At 37.1% G+C, this 27,286-nt stretch overlaps 4 annotated features.

Moving 5' to 3' along the window:
• Positions 2,392-2,997: a transcriptional cis regulatory region, noted in NCBI's record as "candidate enhancer chr6.3721 targeted for multiplex CRISPR interference". NCBI's record gives its function as "positively regulates CYB5R4, CEP162 and MRAP2 gene expression with high confidence in K562 cells {active_cell/tissue: K562}" and the evidence as "EXISTENCE:mutant phenotype evidence [ECO:0000015][PMID:30612741]".
• Positions 4,388-5,587: an enhancer, noted in NCBI's record as "CDK7 strongly-dependent group 2 enhancer chr6:84686166-84687365 (GRCh37/hg19 assembly coordinates)". NCBI's record gives its function as "activates an origin of replication core promoter dependent on BRD2, BRD4, P300/CBP, MED14 and CDK7 cofactors, with strong dependence on CDK7, by STARR-seq in HCT116 cells {active_cell/tissue: HCT116}" and the evidence as "EXISTENCE:reporter gene assay evidence [ECO:0000049][PMID:35650434]".
• Positions 4,891-5,185: an enhancer, noted in NCBI's record as "tiled region #12168; HepG2 Activating non-DNase unmatched - State 24:Quies, and K562 Activating DNase matched - State 5:Enh". NCBI's record gives its function as "activates a minimal TATA promoter and a strong SV40 promoter by Sharpr-MPRA in HepG2 and K562 cells {active_cell/tissue: HepG2 | K562}" and the evidence as "EXISTENCE:reporter gene assay evidence [ECO:0000049][PMID:27701403]".
• Positions 26,778-26,978: a silencer, noted in NCBI's record as "peak5932 fragment used in MPRA reporter construct". NCBI's record gives its function as "represses an SCP1 promoter by STARR-seq MPRAs in K562 erythroleukemia cells {active_cell/tissue: K562}" and the evidence as "EXISTENCE:reporter gene assay evidence [ECO:0000049][PMID:32103011]".

A 27,286-nucleotide genomic window follows, 5' to 3' on the forward strand; every position in this document is an offset into this window, starting at 1 on the left:
CAATTGTGAATGACAAAAGTCTTAGCCATGGTTAAAGATACAACTGACAAGGAAATTTTGTTATTTCTGTGTCAATTTTACATAACAATCATAATTACTACTGATAATATATACTAAGACATATCAGAATCACAGGAATCTCATATAATTTTGGAACGCCTACTAAAAGCACGTTTATGTAAATAAAAGAAGATTAAACACCATTTCATATTTGGCAATAATTCCTGTATGATTTTATTATACCAAATAAGCCAAATATATCTCCTTTGGACTTCAGGGGGCCTAATATCAAAACAGTAATGAGGTCAAAAAGATTGAAGTTAGAATTTGATTTTGGAAAGTTTTTCAAAAAACAAAAGTTTAAAACACTTGATATCACAAAATAGGATCACAGGTCATTGTAAAATAAGTCATTCATTTAGCCAAAGTAATAATTCAAAGATTTGGGGAAAAGAAAGCAAAAACTTTTAGAGAGGGGAGACTTACTTTCCCAAATTATAAGCCCTAAGAAAGACAGCATGAGGCCAATTAAATCTGTCTCTCAAATCTTATAAAAAAACTATTAAACGTTAGTCATCTTGACCATAATATATAGTTTCTATAAACATTTTTATAGCCTGTTTTTTATTAAAAAGTTAGTTAATGCTCCAAGAAAACCCTGTTAATCTGACACAGGTGCCCACATGCTGATCTTTCATCAGTGTGCCTTTGATATTAATGTTTAATTCATAGAGAAACTCTGAACTAATGTTCTCTCTCAAAATTGGCCCTTACAATCTCACACACCCACCACTTCTGTGATAGTCCCTGGGCCTAGGGGAGTTGAATAGTTTTCATTTATGGCACTATGTCTCACGAATGTACTTTATTTGATTGTCATCTTCTCCCAAATCTGAAGATGATAATTTAACTGCTGTCACTGTTTAAGATTTAGCAGGACTTGGTGTCCTTTTTAGATCTAGGAGTCAAAGCCCTATAACTTAACAGCATGAGGACTTTAAAAGCAATACAGAAAGTTATATGGATGTAATAAACTTATTTTTTAATCTCAATTTTCTAGGCAAATAAAAAGTTTACTAACAATGACATAGGAATTATTTCAATAAAACATAAAATCTGTTAGGCTGGTTACCAAAAGGAAAAAAAAAAAAGAACTTCTGCAGTGTGATTGCTTTTCATTATGGGGAGTCTGTTTGGATAATCTGCAAGTCAAAATGAATGAAGATAGTGCTTGAATTAGTTAGACAGAGGAAGAGTGTATCCTGGGTCATAAGTGAAAGTTTTTGATTTCATAAAGTCAAGAGCCCAGAATGTTATGTTAGAAGAAAACATTTCCTTTTAGAACTTTAAGATAAAGCGTTTTTAGCAGCAGGCCACAACATCAGTTAGAACCTAAGGAAAAAAGGTTACAGGAGCTGATGAAAGAGTTGAAGAAGAAAGTTATTATCTCAGGCCTTCTCAAAGGGTAAACAAAGCTAAACACAGTGAGATGCAATAAAAGAACTTTTGGGTTTAAAAATTTAAAATCTCTTGTAATTTTATTAAAAATAAATCAGTACCTTTTAATATCTTTTATTAAGAGTAAATCAATTTCCTTTTAATTATAGCCAACTTGATCACATAGGTTTTTTTCATAAATTCACTTTTTACAAACCCTATTACAATTTACACAAACCATTTATGACATGTTTGGACTTCCTGTTTTATCCTAAACATTCTTTTTTCTTAAATAACCAGGCATTTTATTTTAGGGCAAAAAATGTATAATACAAAATTGTTTCTCATATAAAATTATATTCCTTTTAATACCTCTTTATATTTACAACTTTCTTGTCATCTCTCTTACTTAATGGTTCCTTTACCTTGTTTTATAAATAACCTTTAAATAACCTTTGAAGTAGACAAAATTTTTTTTTTAATAAGGACCCATTATTTTTTAGAAAAATGTTTTCCTGTAATTTTTTTAAAATATTGGAAAGACCCATTTAATTAATATTTATTATTAATTTAACTTTAGATTCTAAATTATATGACAAGTTTTTATAAGCATTTATTCCATTATACTTACCTAATTAATTTCTTAATATTTTACCTAGATTCGTTATGAAAACTATGATAATCATTTAAAGTTATTTCCCTATTATCCATTTTTATAGCCTATGGATTTCAGGTGTTTATCTAAGTAAGAACCTTAAGGTTAAATAAATAGGTGGTGGGGGAGTTGCCAATAATTCAAGATTTAGTTGTTTTAGTTAAACCAATTGAAACCAGCCTTGTTGTCTGGGGTGTCACCGAAAGTTCTTGGTCTCATGGCTGAGGAAATCAAGGACCTGGACACTCCAAAGGTGAAGTTAGAGCAGAATTTTAATAAGCAAAAGGAAGAAAGCTCTCTGGCACCAAGAGGGGTCCTAGAAAAATGGGTTGCCATTTTACAGTGAAATGCAAAGGTTTTTATAGACAAACTGGTGGGGAGGTGTGTTTCATTTATATACTGCACAAAAAAAATCAGGAGTAGGTGTTTCATTTGCATATGGCACAAATTTCTGACAGTCTTCACCCCAACCTTTCTAGTGCACATGTGGGCTCCTTAGTCTGAGTTACTCCATCTTGCTTATCTCTTCCTACTGCGTATGTGTGGAAAAAAAAAAAAGAGGAGAGGGTCAGAACCCTCTGTGGTGGATGTGCCTGGTCCAGGGTCGCTCTTCTTATCAGTGCTGCTGCAGGCACTTCCCCTGTGCAAGCCTCCTTGTCTGAGCATTTCCAAGAAGGGAGAGGAATGTGCTCTACTTGGGCTCAATATATATCAGCAAAACTTGTTGATTACATACGAGGTCCCATTCTGTGTTAGAACTTGCCTTCCTTATCTGTGTTTGCAGCCTGATCTTTCAGGCTGCTCTTTGCTAAAAGAGAAATGACTTGTTGGGCTGCTTTTTGTTAGAAGAGAAGCTGCTTTTTGTTGGAAGGGAATTCTACTGAGGACTCTAGCCCTAACTATCTGCCTAGTTGATTTCTTTCTCTCTTCTCTCTCACAATAATATTAAATTTCTTATTTATCAAAAAATTATATAAGATAAAATTCTCTTTGGGGCTACATTTACAGCTTTATAACTCATGCTAAATCTTGATACCTCATAATATTTAGCAGAGATAAATAGAAAACTTCCTAGCTAATAAATCTAAACAATAATGTAGGCTGACAATTCTGAAGACATTTCTAATTTTATTTTACCAATAACTTTAAAGCCAGCTTGTTTATTTGCAATTTACTTATGTCACGTGAACTTGCAAAGCATTTTGGCTCATTTACTTAATTCCTGAGTAGTCCTTTATTTCTAATCCAATTTGGTACCTTGTGGCCACAACACGTAACAAAACACATGTATGTACACCTTAACTCACCTAAGCATGCATACACATATGTACAGATAAACACATCTAAGCACATACACATACTCGTACAAATAAAGATCCTATAGCTTTTACTTCAGAACTCTACTCATGAGATATTAATACAAACTTACCAGTTTACCACAAATGGTTGGATGCAAATAGTGTTTTTTTTCTCAACACCAGTAGAAAGGTCCTTCAAATTGGAAAAAAAAAGTACATTTTCTTAAGCAAAAATCACATCCTCATTGTTTTTTTTGCAAACTTCACCAAAACCGCATCTTATTCTCCTACTATTCTAACTCTCAGTAACCCTAATTCCCAGAGAAAACATAGGATTACTTAATTTAACATAACATGACCTTAAGATTTTAAATTGCTGGAGAAAATTTTGAGACTAAATTAACCAAATTAATCTTACCAAAGATGACTAACGTCATGTGAACTGAAAAGCCTCTGAGCTAGCTTCTATTAGTCTGACAAATGTTTACTTTTCTTTAAGCCAACTAATTAGATGTCTTTCATATAATTGGTACTGAAATATTTTCACATGACACATATGAACATACAGACATAATAGACTCAGAGGCAGATCTTATAGATTTAAAATTTTTCATTTGCTAGTATTCAAAAATTCTCTCTTCCCTACTTTAGACTATGAACCTCTTCATTATCTGTTCCATGTCCTAAATCATTGTTAACTAGGTAATTCTAAATTTGCATCTCCAAAGATATGAATCACGTGAAACAAGGTAGAAAATGTACAACTCAAAGGCACAGGATTAGATCTAAACAAAGACAAGTTTTGTTATGTAAACTTTAAGCTATTGTCTTACCCCTAGTTAAAGTTCCATTAGGAACTTTAGGTGCAGAGACAGATATGCCCTTACAAAATGTAAATTTCCTTTAAAGGTGGTATTTTCAACTTAGCTGCTTAATTAGATTACTGGCTTTAGGGTGGAGGCCTTTAAGGAATGGGGCGAAGAAAGTATACAGGATTTTCTTATCTAAACATTAAAAACAAAGAGTAGTCGTCCCCTATAGTAATGACCATTTCCTGTAAACTGCCCTCAACCACCCCTAACATTGTAGCTCTCATGCAGCATTACACACGCCAAAGGCAAATACTCTCACAGTACAAGGTGATCTCTGGTACTCCCAAAAGCCAAATAAATCAGGTAATGCGATACAAGAAAGCAGAGCTTTAGACCTGAGAAGAATCAGCACATGACTGTTGAAACTCCACAGCAAATCAGAACAGCTCAAAAAGGGGTGAGTGGCACCTTAATTCTGAGTTCTTTAAGGGGTCTGAGTCATTAGAAGCCTTCTCTATTTTCTTTTCACTTGGTACTGAAGATGGCAAAAGGAGAAGGAGATGTTAGATATGAGTTCTAAATTTCTTTTCAAAGAATCAATATGTCAGTATGTTCAATTCTTTGCCTTCTACTTTTAAACTTAACTTCCTCATAAAGCAATCTTTGTCGATTACCTGCTCAACCCTGACTGATTTCAATCACCTGTTCCACCCCGACTCACTCCGTTTACCTCCTCCACCCTGACTCATTCCGATGACCTGCTACCTGCTCCACCCTGACTCATTATCCACCCTGCATAACCATTTTTCCCGCCAAACCACTCACCCCCACCCCCTCACTCTCTTTAAATTAGCCAGTTGGAATTAGTTTATCCTGTGCAGTCTAACCCTAGCCAATAGGGGAATGACACAGCAGCAAGGGCCACGTGCGTCAGGGATAAGAACCCCTTCCCCTCCCTTGTCCAAGTGTGCGCTCACCATTGCTCCACTCTTCTATAGAAGTACCTTGCCTCGCTGAGAATTAAAAAGAAAATATTATATTCAAGTGCTATTTCTTTTGTGGCACCAAAACTTTATAACAGACAAATAGAGTAGAAGAAAAGTAAATGAGAGGACAATTTTTAAAGAAAGGAAGTGAACAGAGAAACCAAATGCGTGCCTTTTTTTTTTTTTTTTTTTTTTTTTTTTTGCAGCTGCATGGAATTTTAGTGAATCCAGAGGCCTTGTTCCCCGTAATTTGGAGTTCTCCTTCGAATTTGACCAACTCAGGTAGAGTTAATCAAATCTGATGGAAGAAAACCAAAATAACAAAACAAATATGATTACTGAGGACTTTTAATGGTAAGGAGAAGTTAAGACCAGTTACTTGTCAATCTTAACTTTTAGTCACTAAGGGGAATTTTCAAGACAAAACTCTAATTGAGCTACTTACCTAGGAATGAGGCTCACGCTGAACACTGCTGTCTACCATCTATGAAGCAGGAAAAAACTCAAACTCACTTTCTCTGTTGGAAGGGAGCAGAAACTCCAGAAAGGACTTGCTGGCCCTCCATCATCATGGAAACAGGAAAACTAATCTTCCTTGTTGGAAGTGAGTAAAACTCCAGGAAAGGAGTTATAAAGCAAAATGAACCTTAGACCTCAACCAAATTTGGGGAGAGCAATGATTCTCTGAAGGGACCTCCCAGACCTCAGCAAATTGTATTATTGGTTTGAGCAATAAAGATAGGCCAAGCTGGTACCAAGCATGGATGGATTTGTCAAAGATCAGGCCACCTCATCTCTTCCATTGGCCACCAGTTTATAAACCAAAGAGTATCTGAGACAGGTCTCAATCAATTCAGAAGTTTATTTTGCCAAGGTTAAAGACATGCCTGGAAGAAAATAACATGGACCCACAGGAACAGTCTGTGGTCTGAGTCTTTCTCCAAAGATAAATTTCAAGGCTTCAATATTTAAAGGGAAAATGTAGGCTGGAGGGGAGAGGGGTAGAGTATAGTAATCCCCATGTTGTAAGAGAAAAGGAGCGGGTACGGGAATAGTCAATTATGTATTCATCTCATGCTCAATAAATTGGCACTTTACATAAGATAAGCTACCTCTGGAATCATTTAACTTTTTATCTCTAGCTATCTGCTTAGGAACAAAAGGAAAGGCAGCTTCTTGCATGACTCAGCTTTCAGCTTCATTTGTTCCTTTTGGCATAATGAATTGAGGTCCCAAGTTCTTATTTTTCTTTCACAGCTTTATATCAACTGGGAACTTGGAAGTAAAGCTAAAAATGTGTTGGCAACTTTCTTTTTCAAATTCAGTTTATGTTCTGACACAGGATTTTCTAATTAGCCCTCTTAGGCCATGGTAATTGGAACAGCAAGGGGACTGTTTTTATTGGAGTGTCTACATCTACACAGTCAGCCTGTGTAGATGTCCTTAAAATAAGCAAAAAGAATAGACGGAGATGAAATTGGAGAGAGAGAGAGAGAGAGAGAGAGAGAGAGACAATGCTGCATTACAATTCTATTTCCTCATTTAAAACATGCTGAGAAAAGCAGTTATTTGTGCTCTGCAATTGCTCTTTAAACATGTGTAAAGGAAAAGCCTGAAATTTTTAGTAAAATACATCCAAGTGTTTGTTAGGCTGAGGGTTTCCACATTCTGAGCAAGTTATTTTATTTATACAAGAATTGTCACAGGCAATTGTCAGAATAGCCACCTACTTGAGGGAAAAAAATCACAGAAAAACATTACACAACATCTAGGTTTTGTTACATTTCATATATTTTGTGGTGTTTTTAAATATACATACTTGTCATATTTTAAAATATTGAATTTATTATTCTAAACTGTGAGGTGGAAATTCTGCACAATAAACCATTAGAAGAAAGTACGCTCTCCCTCACCTAGTTAGGAAGTGGCAAAGGAAACCAAGGACAGGGTTTCCTGCACTCAACGTAGTTTCAGGAAGAGTACAGATTCAAAAGTACTATGAGAAAGTGCCACCTGTGCACTCAGTAATAAAACCCTGGAGCTCTGTACTATTATGCCAGAATGATTCTCTGAGATAACTACCAGTTCCCTCAGGCCCCAACATACAAGCTTGGGCTGCAGAGGAAGGCCTTACATTTGTGCACGAGGTGTTTTGTTAGATGTAGAGCAAAATTCTTGGAGGTGTGTTCACACCTAAATATTCTATTTTTTGTTCTCTTGACCATTAAAACTTAAATAATAATGGCCAATATTTATATAGTGCTTTTCTTTTCTGAATTTTTAATTTTTATGGGTACATAGTAGGTGTATATATTTATGGGATATATAAGATATTTTGATACAGGCATGCAATATGTAATCATCCCCTCAGGGTAAATGGAATATCTGTCACCTCCAGCATTTATCCTTTGTGTTACAAACAATTTAATTACACTCTTAGTTATTTTTAAATGTACAATTATTGTTGACTGTAGTAACCCTGTTGTGCTATAAAACACTAGGTCTTATTCTTTTTTTTCTATTTTTTGTACCCATTAACCATCCTCACTTCCTTCCAATCTTCCCACTATCCTTCCCAACCTATGGTAACCATCCTTCTTCTCTCTATCTCCAGGAGTTCAATTGTTTTAATTTTTAGCTCTCACAAATAAGTGAGAACGTGCAAAGTTTGTCTTTCTGTGTCTGGCTTATTTCACTTAACATAATGACCTCCAGTTCCATCTATATTGTTGCAAATGATAGGGTCTTCTTCTTTTTTTATGGCTGAATAGTACTCCATCATGTACATATACCACATTTTCTTTGTCCATTTGTCTGCTGATGGACACTTAAGTTGGTTCCAAATCTTGGCTACTGCAAATAGTGCTTTAATAAACATGGGAGTGCGGATATCTCTTTAATATCTTGATTTCATTTTTGGGGGGGTATTACTAGTAGTGGGATTATTGGATCATATGGTAGCTCTATTTTTAGTTGTGTAAGGAACCTCTAAACTATTTTCTAGTAGTTTTAGTAATTTACATTCCCACCAACAGTGTACAAGGGTTCCCTTTTCTCCATATCTTCAACAGCATTTGTTATTGTCTGTCTTTTGGATAAAAGCCATTTTAACTGGGGTGAGATGATGTCTCATTGCAGTTTTGATTTGCACTTCTCTGATGATCAGTGATGTTTAGCACCATTTCATATAACTGTTTGCTATTAGCATGTTGTCTTTTGAAAAATGTCTATTCGAATATTTTGCCCATCTTTAAATCAGATTATTAGATTCTTTTTCTATTGAGTTGTTTGTGCTTGTTATATATTCTGGTTATTACTCCCTTGTCAAATGGGCAATTTGCAAATATTTTCTCCCATTGTATGGGTTGTCTCTTCATTTTATTGTTTCCTTCAGTTTGCAGAACCTTTTTAACTTGATGTGATTCCATTTATCCATTTTTGCTTTGGTTGTCTGTGCTTGTGGGCATTACTTAAGAAAATTTTTCCCCAGATCAATGTCCTGGAGATTTTCTCCAGTGTTTTCTTGTAGGAGTTTCTTTGTATAAGGTTTTATATTTAAATCTTTAATCATTTTATTTTTGTATATGGCAAGAGATAAGTGTTTACTTTCATTCTTCCACATATGGATATCTAGTTTCCCCAGCACCATTTATTGAGACCGTCATTTCCTCAATGTATGTTTTTGGAGCCTTTGTCAAAAATGAGTTCACTGAAGATGTATAGATTTGTTTCAGGGTTCTCTATTCTGCTTCATTGGTTTATGTGTCTGTTTCTATGCCAGTACCATGCCGTTTTGGTTACTATAGCTCTGTAGTATAATTTGAATTGGCAAAGTGATTCCTACAGTTTTGTTCTTTTTGCTCAGAATAGTTTTGGCTATCCTGGATCTTTTGTGGTTCCTTAAAATTTTTCAGATTGTTTCTTTTATTTTGTGAGGAATGTCATTGGTATTTTGATAAGGATTGCATTGAATCTCTAGATTGGTTTGGGTAGTATGGACATTTAAATATAATTGGTTCTTCCAATCTATGAACAAGGAATATCTCTCCATTTTTTTGTGTCACCTCCTCAATTTCTTTCACCAGTGTTTTATAATTTTTATTATGGAAATATTTCACTTCTTTGGTTAAATTAGTTCCTAGGTATTTAATTTTCTTTGCAGCTATTGTAAGAAAAACTGATTAAGGTTCGAGAGATTTGTCTGTAAAGTTTTATTAAAGATTGGGGTTGACATTAAGAGTACACTAATGCAAGGGTGAAATTTGGCTTTCTCTCTTGAACAAGATTTTCATCTAATGTTAAAGGATAACGAAATATTTTTGCTTGCCTTTTAAATAAACTACAGGAAAAAGAAGGGAAAGACAAGAGACGGATTGGAAAGCTAAATGTTCCCTCTATCAATAAGTAAAAGTTTTTGCCTTTTTGAAGTTTTTGAGTTATTATTTTGGCAAAATAAATAACTTATGGTGACCTGGAATTCTATTTTATAATATCAAATGTTTGAAATCTTTAACATATTTGACAGGCCTCCCAAAATCAAATTTCAGCTTCAAAATTGTCTTTTCCAACCTCTAACTTTGGGATACTACAGAGGGCCCCTGAAGCATCCAAAAGATAGGTAAACAGGATTATTTGACATGTTAAGTTACATGGGAAGTATTGTCAAAATAAAAAATAATGTTTACTTTTCTTCAGGTTATATTTTAGCGAATGTTAATATATGTTCCAAAATTGTATGGGATTTCTAAAATTCTAATATGACTAAATATATACTATCAATCATAATTATGGTTACTGTATTAGTCCATTTTCATGCTGCTGATAAAGACATACCTGAGACTGGGCAATTTACAAAAGAAAGAGGTTTCATTGGACTTACAGCTCCACATGGCTGGGGAAGCCTCACAATCATGGTGGAAGGCAAGAAGGAGCAAGTCCTTCTTACATGGATGGCAGCAGGCAAACAGAGAATGAGGAAAATGCAAAAGTGGAAACCCCAGATAAAACCATCAGATCTTGTGAGACGTATTCACTACCATGACAATAGTATGGGGGAAACCACCCCCATGATTCAATTATCTCCCACTGAGACCCTCCCACAACACATGGGAATTATTGGAGTACAATTCAAGATGAGATTAGGGTGGGGACACAGAGCCAAACCATATCAGGTATTATGTTAGTTATTGTAGATCACAGAAATAACCAAATTTCCATGTCAATTGTGTTTTTATGACTGTTTAAAGTCATTTCTACAGTTAATTGCTTAATTCTGATGCAGTTTTTGAAAACTTCACAAGCACTGAAAATCCTAGAATATGATATATTTTAGGAGGTTTATGAAAGGATGGAACGGACCCTGAAAAGCACTCTTGAATACAGGTAAGAATTCCTATAACTTTAATGAAAAGGCTGACTGGTTTATAAAACCACTAACCCAGGTAGAACAAAATTAATTGAATACCAAGAAAATACTTTGCCAGATTTTCATGCTAAATCAACCAATACTGAAATTGTTTAGATACACAATTTAAATGAACTCCATGGTCTAAGTCAAATTACCTATGACAACCCATTAGTTGTCAGTGCTACGCACCTAAATTGGATAAACAACTGGTATTCAAGAGAACATAAGTCCAACATTAAGCATGGGCTCACGGAGAACCAGGAGGGCTGCCTTGTCCTTTCTGAGTTCTCAAAACTTTTGTTATTAAAGGTTTTGCATTCTGTGACTCATCATGGAAAACATAAAATGATCCAAATTAAATATATATTGGTGTGGTGATTTCTAAATTGCTAAAATAGTTTATGACCAATGTTTGGTTTGTGAAACCCATATTCCTTGGAAGACAAAGCTTTAGGTACGTTTGGCAACTTTATGGGCCATTCAGACATTTATAGAGGGATTTCATTCAGTTGTCATTTTCAATGCATGTTTTCTGGTTGTATAAAAGCTTTCCCATGCAAGAGGGCTGGCATTATAACAGTAGATTATTATACCACCATGTATTTTCACCAGGTAAAGAAAGCATTTCATGGTTCACTTATTGAGGACCATCAACCACTTCATAATTTAGAACCTGAAGATCGGATCTTCTGAGAACCTCAGAGAAAGACTGCCCTTGTCATCCACACTGCAGCAAAACTTCAGGACCTTGAACCTTGGGCTAATAATTTCACAACTGAGACGGCTTCATCTACACCCTTGGAACTATACCCATTAGAACCCTTAAGGTAAAGCTAACCAAGGAAGTTTCTACCCAGAAGAAGATTGCATCCTTGATATGAACAGCTTTTTCCCAAGATCATGCATCAAGACTTCTCTACTATCATGAGACTCTTACTTTGAATATTTTTCCCTTGCTTATGCCTCTATGAACAATAGAAGTGAAAAGGGGGTCTGTTGTGTGTACTAATTGTGTATACTTTGATTTGTGAAGGATTTTGAAGCCAGCCTTATACATGGATAAGCTTATACCTTGATAGATGGAAGATGAGGCGCAATGAAGGTAAGAAATTTTAAAGGTACATATGTGGCCTCATAGTCAGAAATAACACATTTGTTCATTCTTCTTAACCCACATCATGGGTTAAAGAGAACAATGCCAGGAGGCCTTCACTCTTCTAGAAGGGCATTATTTATTAGGTCCTTTTCCACCATGGTTTGGGGTAAAAGAGACAGTGACTAGAAATTTATCCCTCATAATAAGCTCTATAGCAGATTCTATTGTAAAGGCTATGGTTGCAAAACAGACTTTAAATTCTCTTGTGAAAGTTATGCTAAATAATGGAATTGCTGTAGATTACTTACTGGCTAAACAGAGAAGTGTCTGTGCAGCTGCTGGCACTTGTGGCCTGTGGAGAAATACATCACATCAGGTATTACAGAGATTCAGCTGTAGGGGATTAATGAAGAGACTGCTTAGTTAAGTAGGCAGACCCTTTATCTAGCTTATTCTTTGATCTATTTAATTTTAGGTGGTTTGGATATGGGGATCTTGGGTAACTCTTCGTGTTATGCTCCGATATTCATGATAGTAGTCTCCCTGATATACTGTATTCTCTTAAAAGATTTAAATTTTTGCATGCAGCCATCTCTAGAAAGTCAAATGGTCTCTCCAACTGGAATGACAAGAGCTGAAAGAAATGTGTGACCCTGAGGGCACTGTAACCTATAAATGACATGCTGAGACCAGAAACCCAAAATGGTAGTAACTAAGAGTGACACAAAAGCCCTAAGTTTTGGTCACACTCTCACCTAAGTGAGAACCTGACCAAAAAGGGGAGTTTTTTAACAAAATTATGGGAGGCCATTGTTTTTGACTGAACTCATGCACAAGGCCCCAACAGAGCAGACCAAACCAAAATGGAGTCACTCATACTACCCGTGACATAATCAAACTAAGACTTTAAGGAAACACACAGATCCTAGAAGAGACCAGGTTTTGGGTTTTTTCCTCCTGTTTCTCCTGTTTGTTTGTTTGTTTGTTTGTTTGTTTGTTAACAGGGGAAAAAAAACCCAAACCTGGTCTCTTCTAGGATCTGTGTGTTCCACCATAGAGTAGAAGGTCCCTCCTTGTCCTAGAGAAGATCTAGAACACATTTCTAGGACAGAATGTATAAGCCAGCCTTATCCATGGATAAACTTATACCTTGATAGATGGAAGATGAGGCCCAATGAAGATGAGAAACACATATCTATGACATTCCAGCATAAGAATCTAAGGTATAATTCCTACATGACAGGAATCTGCTCCATTAACAGTTGGTAGATCTCACTTGTAAAACTGTTTCAGCCCTCTTCTCCGAACCCAAGAGCAGTTTTTAAAATTCCTTTATAGATTATATTTAATATTTTTAAGTCTATTTGGTTCTGTGACTTTTTCTTTGAATCATTTTTGCTAACATGTTACCTAGAAAATGGTTAATTTAGTCTAACTTTTCTAATTTATTGGCAAAAAATTTGTTCACATTGTTTTATTTTTGGTATTCTTTCTATATATGCAGTTAAAGCCATTTTTTTATTTCTACTGTTTACCTGCTCTCTCTCTCTCTCTCCTCTCATTCATCAATACTTTCAAAGTTTTAGTTATTAGCATTTTTTAAAGAATTAGTCTCTGGTTTTGTCATTTCTCTCTAATGTACTTTTGTCTTCAATATCATTACTTTTGCTCTTACCTTTGTTATCTATGAAATGCAGCTGCTTTGCTGCGACTCCTTTTATTCCTAGGACTAGGGAGCAGAGCTTGAGAGGAGGAAGAAGAAAGTGTACTATTTTTGAAATGAAATTAAGCCAAGAAAAATTGAGGCTGGCATTTCCTCTGAGAGGTGCTAGACTCAAGTTGTTCTTTAAAGGAAAAATTTTGAAACCCTTCTTTGGAGCTTTTGGAGAGCCCTAGAAGGTATGTTCCAAGGGAATATTTTCAGAGAATGTTAATGTTGTTTTTATTGCATAACAAATTTCTAGGTAACCTTAGAGTCAAGAGAAAAAGGATCTTCTATTTTCTTAAAACACTGATTCACTGCAGAGCTCATAAATGCTAAATTACAGCATGGCAGGCAAGTGAAAAGAAAATAAGAAAGCAATGACTATCTACATAATTTATTTCTAAATCATAGTCCATAGGCTGATTTCTTTTAGCATTTGGCACTTTGCCAAGCTGATGAACCCCCTATCCACATGAAGTCAAGACCCACAGATAATATGGATTTCCCTTTCTCCAGCATTGGCAAGCACCTAAGTAATATGAAGTATTTGGAAGAGCTTGTTTATATATGTCTGTATTGTCACCCATCAATTTGATCTCTTTGGTGACTTAGAATTCCTGATGTCCTCTGAGCCTACTCTGGGGTAATAGTTCCATCCCTCAGTGTAATGGAATTTTTTATTTTAATGAAAAAGTTCTTAGTGTAATTAGGCATGCAGATAAATAGACCAGCAATTATGGTGCATCATAATAAATGCTACATTAGAAATGTGCAAAAGTGATATGAGAGGTAGAGACAGAATCCCTCACTCCATATTAAGGAATCATAACAGGATTCCTGGAAGAGGAACTGAAGCTTAAGTTATAAAGGTTAGCTTTACCTTGAGGCAAGGTTATCTGAAAGCTCTTTCAGACTGGGTATAAATGGATATATTAATCTGTTCTCACGCTGCTATAAGGGCATACCTGAGACTGGGTAATTTATAAAGTTCCACATGGCTGAGGAGGCCTCAGGAAACTTACAACCATGGCAGAAGGCACCTCCTCACAGGGTGGCAGGAGAGAGAATGAGTGTCGAGCGAAGGGGGAGGCCCCTTATAAAACTATCGTATCTCATGAGGACTCACTATCACAAGAATAGCACAGGAAGAACGTCCACCATGATTCAATTATCTCCACGTGGTCCTGGCTTTGACAGTGGCGATTATTACAATTCAAGGTGAAATTTGGGTGGAGACGCAGATCCAAACTATATCAATGGGTAAGAGGAGTTAAGGCCGTAGGAGTGAAGGGATTGGTGGAGCTCTGTAAAGGCAGTAAGGCCAGGTACATGGAGGATCCAGTGTTCCCATCTGCTAAAATGCTCCAGTCATGAGAAATAAGGCAAGAGAGGAGAGGAAGGGTAAGTAGCAAAGCATAACTTTTCTGAATTGGAATAGCTGATCGTGCCTTCTGGCACAGAAGATGCATACCCAACTCTCAGATCTCACCTAGAGAAAACAGTTCTGCCTCACTCAACCAGAGTTACTCTAAGTATGAGCCATCTGCCCTCATCTCACCTGGCTGGCTCGCCCTGTCTCAAATGACTGATGTCAAGGTAAGAACTGTCTTTCCATCTAGACCATGCCATTTGCTGATCTTTTCCCCTACCTCATCATTTCTAGAACAAGTGAGTCAGACCAGGGTAATCAGGGATGGGGGCTTCAGCTGATCCAGTCAGGAGAAAGCCAGGCCTCAGGTCATTAAAGCCAGAAGAAGGCCATGCTGGCTCACCACTAGGCTGATCCCACAATGTCCTTGGGGCAGCAAAACAGGGGCCTTGAGTATCCTATTGAAAGAATGTTCTGTTTCAAAAATATCCTCAAAGCTATTGTCCTAGGAAATATAAGAATGTTGTGTTATAATTCCCTACACTTACATTAGTTTATATAAAGACCGTAATCTGGCCCTAGTTGAAGGTTGGTGTATTGAGACCAGGCCCCTCATTTAAAGTGTTTCTGGAACAGAAGGGCTGGAGTGAGAAGTCCATGGGGGACCTGTTCTCAAGAATAACTGAGATCTGTAGCAATGTTGTAAAGCGCTTTCATAAACTGCATCTCATGTCTTCCTCACTAAAACTTACAAACTGCATTGTATTAATAATTCTTACTTTGCCAATGGGGAAATAGATGCTAGGGGAAGTCGCATAATTAACCAAGTTCCTTAGCTGGTGGGAGTAACATTTAGAACTCATATCCAGATCTCTTGACTCCTGAGCCCACAGCTTCAGTCTCTACCCAAAGCCGTGGTCTTGTGAAACTCTTATAAGCTCATAATTGTTTCACCTCAGCTATGAGGGCGTGTGCTGAAGGACAGAAAATCTAGCCCTTCAAGGTCTGGACTTATGAGTCCAAGGCAAGAGCAAAGTTAGCTGAACTCAGGCTGAGCTAATAAATTGATTTTGCACCCCTTATATTCATTCAGCTAAGGCCAGAATCATGCAGCCTGGATGTACAGGTGGGTATGAGGTGACCCCAGATGGCAGAGTGCAGGAGTAGGTGGGGGGTGGATAATTACAACAAGACTTTGCCTTATCTCTAAGTATTCTTGTCCTGTGGGGTGACCTTGAGAAATTGTTCTACTTCCCTGTTTCTCTAGCTCTGCAATGAATTGAATATGTGAGTGCCTATGCTGTGAAGATGTAGGGATGCTCCCTGTCCTCAAGATGCTCACATCCAGAAGAATGCATTTTAAAAGGTCTAGGTATAAGGGAGAATGTTTTTCATTTTTGTTTTGTAGAATCATTAAGAAACCTATTCTTGTGGGAAACACAGATGAATAACATGTTATTTTAGATTTGAACATTTGTAAAGATTTTGGATGGATTTGGTATTTGAGCTGCTTTGTCAGGAAGTAGAATTTTGATGGTCAGGGCTGAGGACAGACTGGGGAGCAAATACAAGAATGTGAAAAAGCCAGGCGTGCAGTCTCTCTCTCTCTCTCCTCTTCTCTCCACCCCTCTAGTAGTTCTGTTTCTCTGAAGAATCCTAATGTGTACCCCAACTGTTTCCAAAATGATTTTGAGATTGCTAAGCAGCCACATTCAGTTGAATCTGGCTTTACATTTTGTAGGTTTAAGCAATTTTGGGGGCAATGAATGTACCTTCAATAGACTTTTGAGTGTCAACCTTTATTTTCTCCCAGTCCATTGCTTACAGTCCCCAGGCTACTGCTGCTCTGTCTAATGATCCTTACAGTAACTACACTAAAAGAAGAGACAATGCATTTAACAGAGACTGATCCCTGGAGTCTGCACATAAGATTTAGTCTGCAGTTGATACTAATAAACATGAACACAGCCTACACTGCTGTTCCATCTGCCTTAAGGTTTAGATAGCATATGTGAGAATGAAGTGGCCCCTCTGAAGGAAACAGGAAACTTATATAGTAAAGTGTAATTAAACCAGGATAAGCAGCTATCTTGGAAACTGTGGCAAGAAGCTTACAGAAAATTTTGGAGATGTCGATAAGGGAGACATGGAGAGTAAGGGTTGGGTCACTGTTTCTCCAAGGCTGATAAATCATGGCTCCAATGTGGACTTGGTGTCAGGCCTCCCAAATGATGCTGCTCCTCACCACACACACACACACATACGTAAACATACACACACACACACACACACACACACACACACACACACACACACACGGGGAGAGAGAGTTTTAAATTTCCATGCAACCTGGAAGACATACTTCTTCTTCCTGGGGCCCAGTTTTCTCATCTGTAATATGACAGGAGTAAGCCAGACGATCTCTAAGTTCTTTTCCAATTCTGGCATTCTATAACTCTAAAGTTTGTTTTCTCTGATCAGTTCTGTGATTTGGAAGACAATGAGTTGATAATCCAGTGGGCTATGACGGTTATAGTTCTCTCAATAAGTTAAATTAGAGTATTCATGTTTTGGCATATTCACATCCATGTTTGCAGACTCTGATCAGCCTGGACAATTTTCTCTCCCAAATCACTTCCACACAAACTTATCAAATCATCTGACTAGTCGCACTCATCCTGACCATATCACATCACAAGGCGGCATGCATTAGGGCAGTTATAACATCCCCCAAGGTATTTGCACAATGACTGCTCACCGTAGGGAACAGGCTTCCCTCTCTGCAACAAACAAGGAAAATGTCTTTTAAAATGCTCTAAATAATACATGTGAAAACCTAGGCAATACTCAAGGTATAAAGGAAAAAAGCAAAAATGGCTAAATTCCCACCACTCAGAGATTATCACCATGAACTTGTCAGTGAACGTTCTAACATAAATTTTCTATGTTTATATATACACACACATAATTTTGTATAAATGGGATCATATTATATATGCAATTTTATAATAATTTTTAAATCTTATGAAAACTTTTATGTTTTAAATTATATCTAAAACTTACTTTACAGTCCAGTAATATTTTAATACAGAATTTTTAAATTGTAGTATATTTTTCTTGTATTTAAGGAAAGATTATTGGTCTACAAAGGGGAGATTAGAAGACTTGCTTTCTCAACCCATAGTTGTACCATCTATGTCTAAAGATACTGAAAAATGTGAAAACTGACGTAACAGAGAATTCTGACTTTCTAAAGAAATCATGCAAAACTTTACATAAAACAAACAAATGATGAAAACTATCATCATTTGTGAGTTTCCCTCACTTTTTAGATGTTAATAATTTGCCATAGTGGGTCTTATGAAAAACAAAAATTTCAGATGATATAGCGTGTCAATTAAGTTGTTGTCAATTTTGAGGGCAATGACTCATAGTTTAAAGAAGGAAAATTTAATATTTTAATTGTAGACTTGATGAGCTCTTTAAATGCCAAAAATGATTTGTTACAAATTTTTGAACTAGAAATGAAAACTCCCTGAAGCATCTTCTAGGGTAAATAGTCATACTGCATTAACCGTAAGAGCATAACCAATAACTTAGAGACCTTTTACAATTTTAAAACCAAATATTGCTGAATGCCTGCTGGATGAAAAGTAAATAAAAGACGTTACAGCAGGAACACTTTCCAATATTACAGCAACTCAGTGAATTTCACTTCTGCTGCATCCTGAAGGAAGATGGTTGTCTCAGGAAAATCAATTTGAGTTGCAAGCTGAGCTAGCTGCTTTATTTACAGAACACCATTTTTACTTGAATGAACAAGGAAAATACAAACTATGGTTATTCAGTTGCGTATTTTGGCAGATATTTTCTGGAAAATTAACAAAGTAGCCTGTCACTGCCAGGACTAACATTTTTTGTTAATGTTGCTGATTTTGTGTTTGGTGCTAATGATAAAGTTTCAACTTTTAAGAGATTAGAATTTTGGAAAAGTTTTATCTTCCACTGTGAATTTGTCCGCTTCACAATGCTTGAAGACATTTTTATGAGATTTATAGGTATTCATAAATGTGATTTATTTATTTTTTTTTTTTTTGAGACGGAGTCTTGCTTTGTTACCCAGGCTGGAGTGCAGTGGAGTGATCTCAGCTCACTGCAACCTCCACCTCCCAGGTTCAAGCAATTCTCCTGCCTCAGCCTCCCCAGTAGCTGGGATTACAGGCGCCAACCACCACACCCGGCTAATTTTATATTTTTAGTAGAGACAGGTTTTCACCATGTTGGCCTGGCTGTCTCGAACTCAAATGATCTGCCTGCCTCAGCCTCCCAAAGTTCTGGGATTACAGGTGTGAGCCACTGTGCCCAGCCAAAAATGTGATTTTTTTAAATGTCATTTACTTTTTGATATCAATATTCAAATTTATATTTACCAATATGTAATCTTGTAAAAAATATACATGGGTAAAGATCTATTCAAAGTGCAAGATAGACCAGTGGATTTTAATGTTACAGAGTACCAAAAGTTCATTGCTAATCATTTCACATCCCACAATGAAGCTTACCTTTCAGAAACTACCGCCTGTTGAAATTTGATGTTATGTCAAAGAAGGCTATCCACAGTTATAAAAGGCTACTTAAATGCTTCTGTCCTTTTCAAGTATATGTCTCTATGAAGTTTGAATTTTTTCAACCCAAATAGCATATTGCAACAGATTGAAAGCAAAAACAAACATGAGAATCCAGCTGACAGTAAAGAGACGTGCAAAGATGTAAAACAATGCCACGCTTATCACTAAATGTTTTTGTTTTAGAAAACACATTTGTCATAAATATGTTAATTATGTCAACATGCAATTGGCTTATTGTTATTTTGAATCAATCAAATATTTTTAAAATTCAGTTTTATTTCTGATATCATAACTGCTGATAAATATAATCCACAGAAATGAAAGCTCTTTAGAGTCCTCAATGATTTTTAAGAGTTGTAAAATGGTGTTGTGACCAAAATATTTGAGAACCACAAATCTAAAGTAAATCCTAATTTACCCAATTTATTTAATGGATACCTTGATTTAAATTGCCTATTTATTTACCTTATCTATTAAAAAGCTATACCCTACTAATGAAATAAAAATCAATGTATCCTTTTTCATAAAAGAACAATTGCTGAAGCAATAATGTTGATTTGGAGTTTAAATGTATGGTTCAAATAGTACCTACAGTTTTTTTTTTCTTTTTAAGGAATTTGAAGTCAAAATTTATATTTTCATCTCCTGTTATTTTTTATTTTTAATATCAGTTTAGCAATAGGGAAACATTGACTTATTTGATTAAAATGGTTAAGATCCACACTGAATGTGCATTACTACTAGATCATGGACAAACTTATTCATTTCTAACTTACAATTTAGCATTCGTTCATTTTTAAACAAGTTTGAATGTAAATTATTCACTGGGCTTCTCAGAAGGAATTTGTACTTTCAGTTAGGGATATTATTAAATCTTAAATTTGTAGTGTATGGTCTATGGTTTATTATTTTCTCCCCTGGCATTCAGCAAAGTTCTTGACGCATAAGACATACTCAGTAAATGTTTGTTGGATGACTGGCAGATAAATGATGAGCACGAGTGAATAAATGAGTAAATGAGTGAATGACTGGATTTTTTAATCAAAAAAGTATGTTTAGTCATATGCATATTTTATGACAAATTAGAAACAAGAATGATCCTTTGAATATGTATGCCCCACCAGGCAGCCACCTCTGGTTCAGAGCCTCCTTCCCGACCCCAGGCTATTCTGACCCTGATAGCCTAAGTGCTGTTCCTACCTTTACTTGGACTTTCTTTCTTTCTTTCTTCCTTTCTTTCTTTCTTTCTTCCTTTCTCCTTTCCCTTTCCTTTCCTTTCCTTGTTTCATTCTTCTTGCCCAGGCTGGAGTACAGTAGCATAATCTCCGCTCACTGCAACTTCCGCGTACTGGGTTCAAGCAATTCTCCTGCCTCAGTCCCCCTGAGTAGCTGGGATTACAGGCGCCCGCCACCACACCCAGCTAATTTTTGTATTTTTGGTAGACACAGGGTTTCACCATGTTGGCCCAGCTGGTCTCAAACTCCTGACCTCAGGTGATCTGCCTGCCTCGGCCTGCCAACGTACTGGGATTACAGACATGAGCCACCATGCCTGGCCACCTTTCCTTAGACTTTCTTTATGCCCCGTTTAGCCTGGACTTCTGAGTGCCACTTGCTCCTGTCTGACTCTTCACTGACATGACATAGCCCATTATCTCATGTTAGGCTTTTCTTGGAAACAGCACAGGATGAGGATAAAGAAGAGAGTGGACTCAGGAACCTACCTCCTAGCCTGGCTCTAGTACTTCCTGGCTGGCTGACTTTGAGCAAATGCCTTTGTTCCCCTCCTCTGTATGGTAGAGATCATAAGAGCATTACCCTCAAGGGGTTGTCATGAGAATTCCATGGGTGAGTCTTTGTAAAGCGATTAGAATGGTGCCTTGCACACAGTAAGCCCTTTATAGATGTTTATTAAATAAATGTAAAAGTATATAAGGACAGCATGATGTGGCTGGCCTTTAGAAGCCTGTTAGACTTCAGGTTGAGTGAGGGTGTGGGAAGCCCCTTTCCCCAGACCTGCCTACCCCATTGTACAGCTCTTTGGACCCAAGTTCTGGCTCTTCACAGATGGGCTTCATTCTCCACACTGGGTCACATCTGGCTGTATCTTGAGACAGACCATCCTACCTGGGGAACACAAATTTCCACATCTAGGACAAGTAAAACAACTGCCATTAAAATATAACTTTCATGAGGTATCCTTCCACCTACATAGAAATATCAAAGATTATCAGAAAAAGGATGAGAAGAGCATTCTCTAAGAGCAGAAATTACTCATAAGAGCAAAACAGAGGAAGGTAGGAAAAATAAATTCAGACTGGGAATAAACATTTCTGGATTATGTTACAAATCATGTATAGTTGGGAATAGTCACCTGCCTAAAAGGATTAATCAGTCTTCCTTTCTGGATAGTGTATATTCTGTTCAGACACTGCAAGGGTTATTTGAGAGAGCTTGTCCCCTGAAAGCCCATAACCTTTGTCTGCAGCTTGTTCAATAGACATATGTAATTATTGTACATTTGAGTTAGTCCCATCATGTCATGTTGGCTGAGATGTCAAATAATTTCTAACTGGATCAGTTACAAACCTTTCTTTTTCCTGTTTAAACCGTAATCCCTGCAGTTTAGATATGTTTCATTTCCTATGAGCTGTTAATGAGGATGACGTTCTTCTTCAGAGTTGGAATAAAGGAAAAGTTGTCTTAAATAAGCACCTGGAGGCCTAAGAAAGCTCATGGAACTGTTAGGGCCTAGAGATAGGGCCTAATCACCATAAAAGAAGTATCTTAAAATAGTTAAGTTTCACACACCATAACCACCATGTTTTATGTAAATAGGAAAATGCCAGTAACTAAACTCGTGTTTAAAAATGTAACATTTGAGAAGATCCTAGGATTGCTGCATTTGTCAATGGATAATGTAAGTAGCAGTTCATCAACCTGCGAACACTGTACCACATTCACTGGTACACAGTTACAACCTAGAAACCATCAGCAATCTAGTGTGCAGCCCAAGAGACTGTCCCTTCTTTCAGTCATTACTCCCTTCTCTGATTTCTAACAGCATAGGTTAGTTTTGTCTGCTTTTGTATTTAAGTAAATGGAACCATTTTCTATGTACTCTTTTGACTCTGACTTTCCTTCATTACTGGTTGTGAGATTCACCCATTACATAGTTTGATTTTAAATCTTGCTACTTTCAGGCTCTGTAACTTAGGGAAGTTGCTATAGAATCAGGGTAACAATAGCTAATACTTAGGAGTGAGTGCAAGAATGAAATAACAGGAGAAGGCCTCTCAGCCAGTGCCTATTTCTAACAGATGCCCTTCCTATCTCTCGTCCGATAGCCTCTTCTGTCCCACCCTACTCCTTGACCTTGATACCACACTGCAGCTTCCTCTAGCTCTTCTCACATGGGTCTGGGCATCTGCAGCAGTGGGCAGGCAACACCCAGGCTCCTGGAAGATCTGCTTTCCCTAATTAATAGGCTTCATAAAGAACTCTGAGGATAAAAATAAAAGCCATAGTCTGGGAGAAACTACTTGGTGAAGAACCTGTATCCAGAATGTAAAAAGAGACCTCTCAAAACTCAAAAGTAAGAGAATAAATACACAACTAAAAAACTGGGCTAAGAGTTTGAACAAATATTTCACCAAAGGAGGCATGTGGATGACAAATAAACACATGAAAAGATGCTCAACATCATAAGTCATTAGGAAAATGCAAAAATGTTGCGGGAAGTCAAGGACCCCGAATGGAGGGACCAGCTGAAGCCATGGCAGAAGAACATAAATTGTGAAGATTTCATGGACATTTATTAGTTCCCCAAATTAATACTTTTATAATTTCTTACGCCTGTCTTTACTGCAATCTCTGAACATAAATTGTGAAGATTTCATGGACACTTATCACTTCCCCAATCAATACCCTTGTGATTTCCTATGCCTGTCTTTAATCTCTTATTTCCTTCATCTTCGTAAGCTGAGGAGGATGTATGTCACCTCAGGACCCTGTGATGATTGCATTAACTGCACAAATTGTTTGTAGAGCATGTGTGTTTCAACAATATCAAGTCTGGGCACCTTAAGAACAGGATAACAGCAATGTTCAGGGAACAAGGGAGATAACCTTAAAGTCTGGCTGCCTGTGGGCCAGGTGGAACAGAGCCATATTTCTCTTCTTTCAAAAGCAAATAGGAGAAATATCACTGAATTCTTTTTCTCAGGAAGGAACATCCCTGAGAAAGAGAATGCATCCCTAAGGGGAGGCCTCTGAAATGGTCACTCTGGGGACGCCTGTCTTTTATGGTCGTCCATAAGGGATGAAATAAGCTCCGGTCTCCTGTAGCACTCCCAGGCTTATTAGGATGAGGAAATTCCCACCTAATAAATTTTGGTCAGACCAGTTGTCTGCTCTCAAACCCTGTCTCCTGATAAGATGTTATCAATGACAATGCATGCCTGAAACTTCATTAGCAATTTTAATTTTGCCCTGGTCCTGTGGTCCTGTGATCTCACCCTGCCTCCATTTGCCTTGTGATATTTTATTACCTTGTGAAGCATGTGATCTCTGTGACCCACACCCTATTTGTACACTCCCTCCCCTTTTGAAAATCACTAATAAAAACTTGCTGGTTTTGTGGCTTGGGGGGCATCATGGAACCTGCCGACATGTGATGTCTCCCCTGGACACCCAGCTTTAAAATTTCTCTTTTGTACTCTCCCTTTATTTCTCAGACTGGCCGACACTTAGGGAAAATAGAAAAGAACCTACATGAAATAACGGGGGTGAATTTCCCCCGACACAAATTAAAACTACAGTGAGATGCCACTGCGCATCTATTAGAAGGGCTAAAATAATAAAAAAAAAAACAACTGACCATACAAGGTGTTGGCGAGGATGTGGAGGAACCAGAACTCTCATGCATGGCTTGTAGGGAGGTAAACTGATACCACCACTTTAAAAAACAGTTGGCAGTTTTTAAAAAATAAAAACATACACCATATGACCCCACCATTACTCTCCTAGATATTTACCTAAGAGAAATGAAAGCATATATCTACACAATGACGTGTAAGCAAATAGCAACTTTATTCATAAACTGGAAAAAACCAAAATGTCTATCAACAGATGGATGGATAAAAAATTTTGGTACATCTTTACAATGGAATACTACTCAACAATAAAAAGGAATTAACTATGAATAAACACAAAATGGATTTAATTGGAAAATAATTTTGTTGAGAGAAAGAAGCTGGACAAAGAGTACATACTCTATGATTCCATTTATGTATGTTAGTAAATGCAAAATAATCTGTAGTAACAGACAGCAGCAAATCAGTGGTTGCCAAGGAGTGAAGGGGATGGGCTGGGAGGTACCACAAGGGATCATGAGGAAACTTTTGCTGGTGATGCATAGTTTACTATCTTGATGTTGGTCATAGTTTCATGGTTGTATACATATGTCAAAACTTATGAACTTGTATACATTAAATATATGCTCTTTACTCCTTGTCGATTATGCCTCAATAAAGCTATTACAATTTTTTTTTTAAGAAAAAAAGAGGACTGTGAAGCTTTCAGGTCTGAGTGGTACATTAAGCATGTTCAATAGTTAAACAGAACACTGTTTCATTTGGTTACCAAAATGCAATTACTTTTTAAGAACAATTACTAACTTGTGTTTCCTGCCCATTTGGACTATTCATGATCCATTGCTTGGTTGCTTAGGGACTGCCAACCAATAAATAACCCTTCGGGAAGATGACCGCTCTCCAAATCAGGCTTAGCATGCCCATTAATTTCAGCCACCAAGTTCCTCTTCCTACCTTTGAATTTGAATATGGAAAAAAATGGCTCATCATGTCCATTAATTTGGTATAAAACCAACTTTCACCCTTTACCCACTCCCTTCTCCTCCCACCAAGACCTCTCTATGTCCCTCTCTAATCCTGACACAACCCATTCATTGAAGTACCACAGTCCCAGGCAATGTGTGTACACAGAAAGTTGATTTCTGAGAATTGTTTTTTTACAAACTTCAACAGATTTCAAAATTAGCTCATGGCTCAGGAGATCAGTCTGACTCAGGTTTATGTGCAAACAATAGACATAGTTTTAAAAAATCATCAGGAACACCTAAGATCAAAGCTTTTTTGTTCCAGCTGCTAAGCGGGAGATTTTGTGGCATCCATTTTAGTCCCTTGGCAGTCATAATCCTGAGTTCTGTGCTGTGACATAGAAGCAGTCAACGAGATCACTGAAGGAGAAGCTAATAGTACAGAAATTTCCAGTGTTCCCACAAAGAAGTGAATTTGGTATTATATTGTACACAGAGAAAAAATTTTTAATAAAAATCAAAAAATAAGGCTTTGGTTAGAAAAACACTTAGTAAAACAGAGAGGAATAGGCTTTATGACCTGGAGTATTAAGCCTTGTTTCAAAAAATTGCAAAACCAAGAAAATGAAAATCGACAGGTATAAATACAGTAGAAAATCTAAGGTAGAGTGACTCAGTTCTGACAGTTGTCTGATACATAAAGATACACAGGATAGTCCCATGGGAATGAACAGGAATCCTAGATTCCTAGGCCTTGAGTTCAAATTCTGTCTCCACTACTTACTAGATATGTGACCTTGAGTTACTTTTGCAAAGTTTTATCTTCCTATTCTAAAAAATAAGGGTCATAAAACTACCTACCTCATAAGATTGTTTGAGGTGAGCTAACACCATAAAACATTCAACAGAGTGTTTAGTTGTAAGGACTCAATAAATGTCAGCTTTATTTTTATGAAGTATAACTGAGATATGCTCTAATCAATCATCTTGTATCAGAATTACCCAAACTTGCCCATCATAACAATCACCTGGGGCTTTTATGGAACATACAGATTCCAGGGCCCTGACTCAGACCTACTGAAACTGCATCTCCAGAGGAGGGGCCCAGGACTCTGTTTAACAAGAGCCTCAGGGCTCTAGGCACATTTGGGAAATGGAGATGATGTTAGTAAAATTTCATTTCCCTATATCTATAGGTCTCAAATTTGAGGACACATAACAATCATCTGGGGTCTGGTTAAAATACACACTCCTAGCATTCCTATCCCCCAGAGATTCTGATTAAGGTCTAGGATGGTGTCAGAACAAGTGGGTTTTAAACAAGCACTCTCCTGGTAATTCTGGGCAAAAGGGCTTTCATCCTACATTTTGGAAAACACTGCCCAACATTGTGTTACCCTTATTTAGACTAAAAAGATAACTCTAGGAATAGTCTCTAATCTAGGAGAAAATTTTCAATAGCTTTGTTTCTGCTACCAAGTCATGCAATGTATGAATAAGAGGGAATAATTTAATCTCTCTGCCAAGTAGTTCTTTTTCTCATCCATTAAAATTGGTTCTTTCTATGCCAATTTCTTTGGCTTGAGGTTAAAAAGTCCATTATACATTTGATGCATCTGTTCAGAGTTTCATGATTGTGCTATGTCGGCCTTTTTGTGACCTCTGATCACTTAGTCTGATTTAGGGCCCTGTAGGCACCCTGAAGCTAAGGACTTTGCTTGCTTAACTTGTGTTTCATACTGGGTATTTCTGAGTCATTTCTGATGAGCAGAGGGCTTGAGGGAAGCATGAACAAAAGAAGTGAGAGCTGGTTGGGCATATAAGCACTTGGTCCTGATGGAGGCTTTGTGGCACCTGACTTGCCAGCTGCTTCAGTGCCTGTCCTCACAGTTCAGGATTCACCTAATGTGCTGAGATAAAGCAGCAAACAGATCCTGAGAGTAGAGTCAGGCTACACAGGCATTATATGCATGGGCTTTTGCATGACTTTTGATGGGTCAAAGATAAATGCTCAAGCTTGTGAGCATCCAAGAGACAGGTCTGGAAGGATATAC

This window comes from Homo sapiens, chromosome 6, assembly GCF_000001405.40.
Source record: "Homo sapiens chromosome 6, GRCh38.p14 Primary Assembly".
NCBI classification, from domain to species: Eukaryota; Metazoa; Chordata; class Mammalia; order Primates; family Hominidae; genus Homo; species Homo sapiens.